Source organism: Homo sapiens, chromosome 9, assembly GCF_000001405.40.
Source record: "Homo sapiens chromosome 9, GRCh38.p14 Primary Assembly".
Lineage (NCBI taxonomy): Eukaryota > Metazoa > Chordata > Mammalia > Primates > Hominidae > Homo > Homo sapiens.
The window spans coordinates 84,490,426-84,502,991 of record NC_000009.12 but is presented as its reverse complement, the minus strand read 5'-3'; the positions used below and the strand labels follow the sequence as shown (position 1 = coordinate 84,502,991).

At 41.0% G+C, this 12,566-nt stretch overlaps 1 long non-coding RNA gene across 12 annotated transcripts in view, besides 1 other annotated feature; it reads right to left on the bottom strand.

Annotated features, from left to right (window-relative positions):
* The window catches only part of LOC102724036 (uncharacterized), a 247,231-nt gene that overhangs the window by 154,040 nt on the left and 80,625 nt on the right, over positions 1-12,566 (bottom strand). For all 12 annotated transcript variants that reach the window (XR_007061623.1, XR_007061626.1, XR_007061624.1 and 9 more), the window contains one exon: positions 5,246-5,523. This is a non-coding gene — a long non-coding RNA (uncharacterized LOC102724036). The remainder of the gene's footprint in view (positions 1-5,245; positions 5,524-12,566) is intronic.
* Positions 2,491-2,560: a silencer, noted in NCBI's record as "silent region_19984". NCBI's record gives its function as "represses an Ori minimal core promoter by ATAC-STARR-seq in GM12878 lymphoblastoid cells {active_cell/tissue: GM12878}" and the evidence as "EXISTENCE:reporter gene assay evidence [ECO:0000049][PMID:35858748]".

The following is a 12,566-nucleotide window of genomic DNA, read 5'->3' as shown; positions in this document are numbered from 1 at the left end:
AATGAATAAATGAATGAACAGATAAGAATAGAATGGAACAGCAGAGCAGAGCACAGCATTGGTTGTAAATAGATTTTTCTTTTTTTTTTTTTTTTTTTTTTTTTTAGTCAACAGCATTTGTAGTCTAGCTACAGCTTAAAAAAAAATATGGGTCCTGAAATGCCTGCTTATTTAAAGTTTACCATTTCTTTGTCTAAAAATGATATTGACAGAGTCTAACTTCAACCTTAAAAGAAAATGCTGACTGAAGTTAGCCAAGGGCATAACTTTTTCTAAGTCAAGGGGTGGTTTGAGTTTTTTTTTGGCCAGAGGGCAGTTGGTATTTTGTTGTTGTTGTTTGGCTTTGTCTTTCACATTCTTCTTTACTCTGATACTTTGAGAATTTTTTCCAGCCAGATCAAGAGAAACACCAGGGCCCTCACATAATCCTAATGTCCACGATGATATGGAGGAAAGAACAGAAGACTTTCAGCCAGACATTCCTGGACTGGAATCTTAGCTACATCATTATTAGTTACAAGACTTTGTGCAATTTACTCTGTCTGTGCCCCTTTTTCTTCAACTATGGTGGGGTAAGAATACTACCTCACTCTGTTGCTTAGACAATTTCATGAGACATATACATGGAACTCATGTTTCATAACACTTAGCACAAGGCAAGCACACTCAATGCCAACTTCCCACTTCCCCCTCCTCACCCTCCAGCTTCCCATGCCCTTACAACACAGAGTTCAATATGTGCTATTTAAAACTATCTCTTTCTATGCTGTCCACATCTCAGGAGTCAGGAGGGATGGCTGTTTCCTGAAGAAGTAAAAGCTCTGTTCCTCTCTGAGATAATGTTCAGGAAGCCATTACTACATCATATTCTGTAGTTACACTCAAGGCATTCTTTAATCATCATCATTGCAGCTAACATTTTTTGAACATTTGTGGCAAGAATTTTTCTAAAATATCCTGTATGTGTAACTTAATATGCAGAACAACCCTATGAAGTATGTATTATTATTTCTGTTTTACAAATGAAAAAGTAAAGGTCAAAAGTGATATAACTGGAGACAGGTAGAGAGTTAATCTGTGTCCCAAGCCTCCACTCTTGATCACCATGCTAGACCCAGTGAACCTACAGTGTTCTGGAAACCAGGGAAGATGCCTTTTTAGTGAGTCATGGAAAGACTAGAAACTAGATGGAGTTTGGAGCTTGGACCTGCTCTGTCTAGCTCCTCCACAGCTCTGCCAGCTGGCCATGAACAAAGTAATGGGTGAGAGGCCCATGAGTAACAAGGGAGTTCAAGTCAAATCAGGGAGGAAAATATATTAGCATTAAAAAGTGTCTTTTGCATTTGTGCAGAAAACCAAATGAGGTGGCACATAAACACATCTCCTGGGAATCAGAAAGACAAGTTAGAGGAGAAACAAAATGCTAGAGCCTCAATCCAGCCTTCTGGGGGTAGACCATAGTTGCCTTGGGGTCAGAAAACTGTACCTTGAAACTTGAGTTCTATTACATAATTTGTATTTTCCAAGAGCATGTCTTCTTGCCTTATGTTCTTTGACAAATTTTGTTTAGAAGATGTTGGCCTCTCTCAGCTGACCTAAAGAGTACAGAGGAAAAAGCCTGGACTTGGAAAGAAATTATGTGATTTTGTTAGAGGCTGAGTGTGGTAGCAGCAGAGGGAGTGGGGATGGGAGAGGTGATGCTAGGAAGCATATGCCAGTTATCTGCATATGCCTCCACTTTCTGGGAAGTACCTTGCTAAAGGCCTTCTCAACAGACACCGTGGCTCCCCTGGTGATGGTAGGGGATGGCCCTATTTGAACGAATGGTTGTTCCCTTGTAACCTATTGCAGTTAATGGACACTCTCCTCCAGGTGGGTCTGTTCAATGATATTCTCCACGAGTACATGTGACCTCTGGCTAATGCTAGTGCCAGAAGCCTCTAAAGCCACTGGCCACCTGCCCTAGCTAAGTAACACTGAATGCTGACAAATAAAAATGACAGCTGGTTTCATTTAGTAAACTTCCAAAGTGCTTCCCTGGAAGACAAGGCAATGAGATTGGAAAATTTTTAAGGCTATGTGATTATTTCAGAGCCATCCACTCTGGAGTTGCCTCCTCATAAATTACAAACCCTGCAAAGACTACAGACAGTACAAGGAAGCCTAGAGACTCACACATGCATTCTAACACACAGGCCAAGGAACAAGGACCTTTCCAAAGCACTTTTGATAACATCTTACTTGCCTCACTTCTTGACTCCACTTTCTCTCAGCAAATTATGATCCCCAGCCCTTACAAGTGGGCCCTTATATGTATTTGCCAGGAGTCATGCAACTGCACTCTTACTAATTCTTTGCAGTATTTTTGGTGTGAACACTATCATAAATTAAAGAAGGGCATATATTCTTCACCATTCTTGCCATTAAGAGGTGGAGTCCAATTCTCCTCCCCTTGAAGCTAGGCTGACTTTAATTACTTGCTTGACCAACAGGATGTGGTGGAAGTGATGTTCTGAGTCTAGATTATAGAAGCTTCACAACCTCTACCCAGATGACTCAGAATACACTCCTGAAGCCCTGCACCATAGTGCAAAATATCTGACTACCCTGGTACTGCTGCCTTGCAGGTGAGACCATGTGCAGGCATTCTGGTAGATGGCCCCAGCTGAACCCTGCCTTCTAGCATGACTGCTAGGGTGCCTGAGTTGTGAGGGAAACTTGCTTGGAGCCTGCAGATCAGCCTTTCACCAGCTGAATATCATCAAGTAGCTTCATTTGATGGCACAGAGAGGTGAAGAATAACCCAGCTGTACCCTCCCCTAATTCCTGACCCACAGACTCGTGGAGGAGAGCAAAATAGCAGCTGTTTAAGCTACTGAGTCTTAGAATGGTTCATTGCACAGCAACAAACAACCAGAACAACTATCTAATCAGTTACAAATTCCTAGAAATTAACTACTGTTATCCCACACTAACCTTCACTCTCTTGTCCACCAAATACTTTGCTTTGCACCAAGGGCAGACCTAATCGATGCTTCTGGAATAAGTGTATTTGGGTCTGTCTATTTCTGCTTTATTAAACAATCAGGAAGAGCCCTCATTTTTGTAGTGAGCAGATTCACTTCAGATACTGAAAAAAATTGACTTGTCAATTTCTTCCATATTTTAGAGATGACTGACATATAAATTTCATGGGTTTAATATTTCCATTATCATCTTCATAATGACTTCTTACAAGAAGGAACTATGATGTCCATATATACTCTACTTCACTTACATTATGTGGAGGCATTTAAAAACCAAGTCTAACAGCTGACCACAATACCATAAAGCTAGAAATTATCAACCAAAGAATAGTGAATGCAGCCAAAGTACTGTCTGCTTTGGAGAATATAATAAGATTTCCCTTGGGTCTAATATTTACACCAGCACTGAGCACATTGTAAGCATTCAACAAATGCTAGCTACTGTTGGTATTAAAGACGTGTGTGTGTGTGTGTGTGTGTGTGTGTGTGTGTGTGTGTGTGTGTATATATATATATATATATGGTTTTTTTTTTTTTTTTTTTGAGAGAGTCTTGCTCTGTCTCCCAGGCTGGAGTTCAGTGGCTTGATCTCGTCTCACCGTAACCTCCGCCTCCTGGGTTCAAGCAATTCTCCTGTCTCAGCCTCCCAAGTAGCCGGAACCACAGGTGCATGCTACCACACTTGGCTAGTCTTTTGTATTTTTAGTAGAGTTGAGGTTTCTCCATATTGGTCAGGCTGGTCTTGAACTCGTGACCTCAGGTGATCCACCCGCCTTGGCCTCCCAAAGTGCTGGGATTACAGGCGCCTGGCCAAGACATATATAATTTTTAAACCCTGTTTTAATTCAACAGGAGATAACTAATGCTACTCTGTCGAGTTCAAAAACATACAGTCAAAGTGTTAAGAAATGTGATGTTTTGCTAACCCTGTGCACCCTCATCAGAAAATAGGTACTATTTCTGGTAGACTTTTTGAAATATTACAAATAGTATGATAACCCCTTCTAATCTCCAACTAGGAATCTAATACAAACTCAGTCTTTTATTTCCGAATGATGAAACCAAGTTCCAAAGAGGAGTAGGCAATTTGCCCTGGACCACACAGCCAGACCCAGAACCCGTGACTCCTAACTTCCCATCCAGGATTCTGTCCATTCATACTGCTTCTCTTGAACCAAATCAGAATAAACCAGCATTATTGTTGTTTTCAGAAAACAAAGAAGAAAACAAAAAGGTTCTCCTGAACTCTGCTGTTTTCTCTGGAGAGATGATGGCAGAGCATTGAAACAGACTTTGTACTTGACTTTTACAATGTATCAGATCTAGAACTCAGGCTGTATCTTTTAGGACCTATAGGAACCTCCTATAGGATTTCCTCCAGATGTGCCTTTGGACATCCAGGAAATATTTGAAGCCTGGGTCTCCTATGAATGTTTCTATTGCAGGAAATATAGTTTATGGAAAGAGGAAGTGTTGATGGGCAGCTTATACGGGTCATATGTTATGCTGTAGATTTGGGCACTGCACCAACATATTTTCATCCTCTAGCTGCAGCACTGTGTCTCAAAACTTCAAGATTTACAATCCTATTATTGTAAAATCAAATGATATATGCCCAAGTATGAGGTGAGGCTTTTCCCCCTAAATCATCCCTCAAACAAGAAAGATGGTTTTTTTATTCAAAGTCCTTTTATTCTATTTCTTAGAAATTCTCTCATAGGGCTGGACGCGGTGGCTCATGCCTGTAATCCCAGCACTTTGGGAGGCTGAGGCAGGCAGATCACTTGAGCCCAGGAGTTTGAGATCAGCCTGGGCAACATGGCAAAACCCCATCTCTACAAAAAATACAAAAATTAGCCAGGTGTGGTGGCGGGCACCTGTAGTCCTAGCTACTCAGGCAGAGGTGAGAGGATCACCTGAGCATGGGAGGCTGCAGTGAGCCGTGATCATGCCACTCCACTCCAGCCTGGGTGACAAAGTGAGACCCTGTCTCAAAAAATTTTTAAAAAAAGGAAATTTTCTCATAGTATGGAAGTACTACCTCACCTTACTGTTGGCAAAGCCACATTTGCCTGAAAAATCATAACCAATGGTAGTTTAATTGCTTAAAGAGGTTACCTTAAGAAAGAAGGAAGTATATTAACCAGTACATAGAATAGACCATGCTGTAGTAAGAAATTAACTCTGAAATCTCAGAGGCTTAACATATAAAAATTTACCTGTCACTCATACACGTGCCACTGTGGGCCTGGGAAGCTCTCCAGGAATGTGCCCTCGAGGTGGTAACTTAGCTTTAAACTTGTGGCCCCACCTCCAACACAAGGCTTTCTTGGTTGCCAACGCAGGTGAGGGGAGAGTTGGGATGTCACACAGGGACTTCTCACCGCCACAGAGAAGCTGACACAGGAGTTTCCAACTGACATTTAATTGGCCAAAATTGCTTGACTATGAGAAGTCAGTGAGTGTGGTCTTGATCTTCTGTGTGCTCAGGAAAGACCTGCAGGAAACAGGACCTAATAAATGCCATGTATTTCCTCATTCATATGGGGTAAATGCTTAATGTAGATTTAGTAATTACATGACTTCACAATGGAAAGGGTTGAAGGTTGTCATAAACAAGCCCCTTAAAGATCACTTTAAAAAGCAATACTGGAGGCTGAAACAACTGGATATCCATCTGGGGGAAAAAATCTCAACTCTTACCTGAATACATAACACAAAAATGAATTTGATGTGGGACCTAGATCTAAACTAAAAACTAAAACTATGAAAGTCCTAGAAGAAAACGTAGGGGAAAATCTTCAGATTTGGAGTAGACAAAGATGTCTTAAGAAAATGCACAAACCATAAAATATTGATATATTATAGTTTATCAAAATTTAAAACATATGCTTTATGAAATATAGCTTTAGGAAAATAAAAAGGCAAGTCAAAGAATCAAAGAGAATATTCAATATATCTATATTGAGTATATATACATATACATGAATATATATTTTGTAATTCATTAATAATACAATAAAAAACCCAATGTATTTGATCAGCAAAAGATTCAAACAGGAACTTTCTTTTTTTTTTTTTTTTTTTTTTTTTTTTTGAGACGGAGTTTTGCTCTTGTTGCTCAGGCTGGAGTGCAATGGTGTGATCTCGGCTCACCGCAACCTCTGCCTCCCGGGTTCAAGCGATTCTCCTGCCTCAGCCTTCCAATTAGCTGGAATTACAGGCATGTGCAACCACGCCTGGCTAATTTTTTTGTATTTTTATTAGAGACGGGGTTTCTACATGTTGGTCAGGCTGGTCTCGAATTCCCGACCCCAGGTGATCCACTCGCCTCGGGCTCCCAAAGTGCTGGGATTACAGGCATGAGCCATCTCGCCCAGCCTCGAACAGACACTTTCTAAGAACATGTGCCAATTTGCAGCAACCTGGATGGAGTTGGAGACCATTATTCTAAGTGAAGTAACTCAGGAATGGAAAACCAAATATTGCATGTTCTCACTTATAAGTGGGAGCTAAGCTATGCAGTTACAAAGGCATAAGAATGATATAATGGACTTTGGGGGCCAGGCGTGGTAGCTCACACCTGTAATCCCAGCATTTTGGGAGGCCGAGGTGGGCAGATGACCTGAGGTCAGGAGTTCCAGACCAGCCTGGACAACATGGTGAAAACCTGTCTCTACTAAAAATACAAAAATTAGCTGGGCGTGGTGGCAGGCACCTGTAATCCTAGCTACTCAGGAGGCTGAGCCAGGATAATCGCTTGAACCCAGGAGGCAGCTGTTGCAGTGAGCGGAGATCGCACCACTGCACTCCAGCCTGGACAACAAAGCGAGACTCTGTCTCAAAAAGAAAAAAAGGATTTTGGGTACTCACAGGGAAGGGTAGGAGGTGGATGAGGGATAAAACACTACACATTGGGTAGAGTGTACGCTGCTCAGGTGACAGGTGCCCCAAAATCTCGGAAATCATCACTAAAGAACTTATCCACATAACCAAAAACCACCTGTTCCCAAAAAAATCTACTGAAATAAAATTTTTGTAAAAAAAAAAAAGACAGACGCAGCCGGGCATGGTGGCTCACACCTATAATCCCCGCACTTTGGGAGGCTGAAGTGGGAGGATCACCTGAGGTCAGGAGTTTGAGACCAGCCTGGCCAACTTGGCAAAACCGTGTCTCTACTAAAAATACAAAAATTAGCCAAGCATGGCATGTGCCTGTAATCCCAGTTACTCGGGAGGCTGAAGCAAGGAGAATTGCTTGAACCTGGGAGGCCCAGGTTGCGGTGAGCTGAGATCGCACCACTGCACTCCAGCCTGGATAACAGAAGATGATTCCATCTCAAAAATAAACAAACAAACAAACAAACAAATAAATAAATACACACACTACCAAAAACAAATGAACAAACATGTGCCAATTCCCAACACACAAAGCAAAGATGTTCAGCATCCTTAGTCACAGGGGAAATGCAAATCCAAACCCTCCTGAGATACTACTGCATATATACTAGAAAGGCTAAAATGAGACAGACTGATAATACTAGTTGCTGGAGAGGATGGGAAACAACTCCATCTCTTGCACATTGTTGGTGATAATCTAAAATGGTATAACTACCTTGAGAAAACAATTTGACACTTTCTTGTAAAGTTAAACATATACCTACCATACGACCCAACAATCCCATTCCTAGATATTTACTAAAAAAAAATAAAAATATATGTTCACCAGGAGACTTATATTTGTATTGTCATAACAGCTTCACTTATAATCCCCCAAACTGGAAACAACTCAAATATCCACCAAAAGTAAATAGATAGGCACATTTCACTTAATCCATATTATGGATTCTATTAAGCAAGAAAAAAAACTAATGTACTGATACACATAGCATGACTAGATTTCAAAATTATTGGGCTGAAAGAAGGCAGACACTAAGAAAACATACATAGGAGTCCTTTTATATGATATTCTAGAAAAGAAGAAAGCTAATTTGGAGTGGCAGAAAGCAAACAAGCAGTCAGCGGGGCCCAAGGATGTGGGGATTGACCACAAGTGGGATTGAGGGAACTTTGGAGATAATGAAAGTTTTCTATTTGTTGACTGTGTTGGTGGCTACAGAAGTGTATGCATTTGTCAAAGCTCACCAAATCATACACTTAAAATGTTTATCTTTTATATAAATTAAATTACATTTCAATAAAGGTAATCTTAAAAAATACTGTAAGACAATATTGTAGCAATCACAAAAATACATCAGCAGGGTGAATGGAAATACATTTTAATATTATAAAAAAGTACTTTTGATTTAGGATAAGACTACCTGTGGAAACACTATGGATCAATTCCCAAAGTTCTTTCTTTAAACAACTTTAATAGAAATGAATATAACTGTATAGTGAAAAACTGAGTTACGTGACAAGCAAATGATTATGTTAAGGACAAAAACAATATGAAGACATTGAATAAATGGAAATGGGAAAAACACTATTTCTAAATTAATACATAATTCTTAACATGTGATATGAAAATTCCATTGCATCAGAGTCTAATTAGAAAATAGAAACCACTTGAATATTTTATTTATTTGAAGACAGGGTCTTGCTCTGTCACCCGGGCTGGGTGCCATCATGACTCACTGCAAACTCCTGGGTTCAAGCAATCCTCTCACCTCAGCCTCTTGAGCAGCTGGGACTAAAGGAACTTGCCACCATGCACAGCTTGTTTTTCCTTTAATTTTTAGTAGTGATGAGGTCTCACCATGTTGCTGAGGCTGGTCTTGAACAACTCAGTTCAAGGAATCCTCTCGCCTAGGCCTCCCAAAGTGCTGGAATTACAGGCATGAGCCACTGCTCCCAGCCACTTGAGTATTTTCAGCAGAGGGCCTTTAATCCAGGCAATTATTTACACAAGTGATGGAAGGCTGGGCCGAGCAGAGGATGAGAAGACTGAGAAGAGGTGACAGTGCAATAAGAAGTTGAACTGTTTTCCTTTTTGCTGTCACTGAATAATGTAACCAGAGCCCACGGAGTGAGCTCAGCCCTCACTGACGTGGGGACAGAACAAACACTTTAGTGCCCATATTCCCAGTAGCCCCTCTTCCCCAGTCAACTGCAGAAAGAGGCAGCACCCAGAGGTAAAGCTTGCAGGCCACAGGGGCCAGAGTAGACAAGCAGGTGTGAGCACAGCAGGCCCAGGCAGGATGCAGATGAGCAGCCCCATGGCAACAGCTGTCCTCCGTCTGCAGCCTTCCCCTGGAGCACTCCAGCCCTCACGCTTGCCTGATTTTCAGCCTGTACAGATTTGAACTCCAGAAACCAACTGTGCAGACTGTATGCTAGCTGGCTGTTGCCAGATCTGGGGTCCAGGTGTATGTGGTTTAATGGGTCAATAATGGTTTTTTAAAAGAGGAGATTTCACATAGAAATTCAGATTTCTGACTTCCTCATCAAATCCAGAGCTGAAGAGACACTGCCATCATCTGCTGGAGCTGAGGCGTAGCTGCCCCTTTGGCAGGAAATGCATCCTCCACTTGCCTCTGCCTTCAGCACTCCCTGTTGTTACATCCTGCCTGCTCCATCCTCCTCTGGCCTCTGTCTTACCCTGAGTATAGTTTTGAGCATCCTGCACCTTCAAACATGTTGACCGAGACAGGGATGTATGCACTGCTCTGCAAACATCTAGATGGTTAATACTATCCTCTCGGTCCTTCCACCCATCCATTCCCACCAATGAATACCACTCACATCTCTCACTGTCAAAGTCTTTGGCACATAGTTCCAAAGTCAGGGAAATATGAATGAGTCCATGGACAGGAAAGCCCCTTGCCTGGCACCAGGCATATAGTCAGCACTAGGTAAAGATCAGTTCTCCTCTGTTTTTCCCTTTGCAGAACTAACTGTGCCTTTGGCTGGTAACCCTCTGCTTGGCCTTCTGAGATCAGCCATGAGCAGGCCAAACACTTACTAATAAGCTCTACAGCCATACACTTTAAATGACATTTCTAAGTAAAACCAACTTCAAATGACTGGAAAAGTTAAAGAGCTTTGGACGACATCCACTAAATCCCAAAGGCCAAAATGAAAGGGGAGCTGTCGTGTTCAAGTTTGTCAGTATGAAGCAAAGAACATAACTTTCTAATCAGAGAGTAAATAGTTTTATTACCTCTTAGAGTTTCTCCTGCAAAGATATATGGTAAATACGTCTTGTTGGCTTCACTGTGTGACTTCAGGGCCTAATTTAGTTGACAAAATCCTTGAAGCAAATGAAAGTTGGGAAGAAGTCATACATAAAGTCAGGAAATAGCTTTGGGAGAAGCCAGGGCCTCAGGTTCACTTCTGGGGAATTCTGCCCCTTGTCTCCTGAAGTGCAGAGGTTCCAGGGCTGGTCCAGCCTACAGACATGGAATCAGAGCTGCCTGGACTTGGAGGGAACCCAGCTGGAAACATACATTTGTGGCTCTACCCCAGAGTTTCTAGACTCAACTAAGCCCTCTCCCATCTTCATTCCAAAAGTTTCTAGCAACTTGGTCTGCATGTAGCCAAAACAATTTCTTTCTTCACTGTATGTACATAACTGAATGATATTTCCAAATCTTGGGGGTCATTCTCAGCCAAAGCATACCAACAGCTTTATTTAATATTTTATGTAAACAGTTAATAAGCTAAGTTCTTTAACTATTATTCTATTTATGAATGTGCATCTTGAAAGAAACCTTTTGTCCAAGCCAAGATGCAGGATAGAGTTTTCTGTATGGGGACAAACTTCCCTTTTGTAGACAAAGTTTTCTTTCTGATTACCTTTTCCATCCATCCATTTATCTGACCATGCCTTTCTACACTATCAGTAAAGTTTCTTGACTGCCTCTGGATAAGCTGTCACTGTTAACAAGAAGATGGGCAAAAGAATAAACTCACGCTCCTTACTATCAGAATAATTCTCATAGAATGAATATTTCCCCTTGATGTATGAGAAATAATACAGTCAAAATTGCATCACTACTATGCCAAAAAATCTAGGACAAAGTCAGCATTTATTACACGTTAAATGCTTAGCACAAAAGCTAACACAACCATAATACTGTTTTCAATTTTGCTATTTATGCTAACAGTTTGTTATCTATTTTTGTTGTTCCAAATTGCCATTAAATAACACAGGCTGTTCTTCACTGATCTCAATCCCACCTATAGATCTTGTTAGGCAACTCAGTAGAGTGTAAAAAGACTGCACCTATAAAAAGACTCAGGTTCCAGTCTGATTCTGCCTCTAACGAATTGGGCCTAGGTGAATCATTTAACTATTAGGGGTCAATTTTCTTCTCTGCTAAATGAGAGAGGTAGGCTCTTCACGCATTAAGGGTCATTCCAGCCCTAGGTGTCCGAAGTTTTATCATCAGTGGTCCTTTGTTTCTTCCAGCAGTGTGTATTAATTTCTCCTCTGTGGGTGCCATGTGAGGGACTCAGGATACTAGTGAACCAGACAACTGGATGTGTTCTAGGGGTCTCTACTGCGATGAGGGGAGATAGAATTCCAATGTGTGTGATCCACATGGATGTCTAATTGATGACAGAGGTGAACCTAGAGGGTCCCCAGTGGCATATGAAAATTGGACATAATCAAGAAGAAAGTCAAGTGTTTATGGAAGCTTCAGGGATACATTTTCTTTGTCAGACGCCTTCAAAATATTACAGTTTTTAAATGTAATTTCAGTGGAAGACACTTGAGGAGCTCAATATTGCACACTTAATTACATTTAGCTTCCCTTATAATTACTAACTGATTTAAGCCTGCTAACTTGAAAATGACATCACCAGTGGGGAAGTTAAGTTTTACTGGCCTAGAAATTCAAAGTGTGTTAACTAGGGAGAGGCAGTGATTCCACAACCTTGACTGTACTTTAGAATCACCTGGGGACTTCTTTGAACATACTTAAGCCTGAGCTCTACCCCTGAGAAATTCTGATTTAATAGTTCCTGGAAGGAGCATAGACATCAGGAGACCATTTACATTTTTAAAGCTCTCCCTGTGATTTTAATACACAGCCAATATTGACAAACACTGAACTAGGAAAAGAACAATGTTTTCATGAAAATTTCAGGTAAACCATAATCCAGGGTGAAGCAGGTGATATTTGACCCATATTAGAACCTTGGGTTCTTTGATTCCAAAGCTCTGATTCTCATAAAACACAACCTTTAAACAAACCTAATGCAATAGACTGGAACCATGCTGATTCCATGTAAAAGGCTGTTTTTCTGCCCAAACAATTCCCTGTGGGATTTCTTCAAGTAGCCAGCTCAAAGCTGTGAACTGAAATCACAATTCCATTTAGCATAAACATGTATAATACATGCAACTTCTCAGCATACTATTCCATAAAACTATTGGGGCTTTAAAAATAGCCAGCAGATGTCTTTTACTTGTGCAGCACATGAAAAGAAAAGTGACTTACTTTTGCAAACCACCTCCATATCTGAGTTGAGAACAATTTCACCACCCGGATGGGTTAAATAGATTCAATCTGTCCAGCTGGCGAGCCTAGA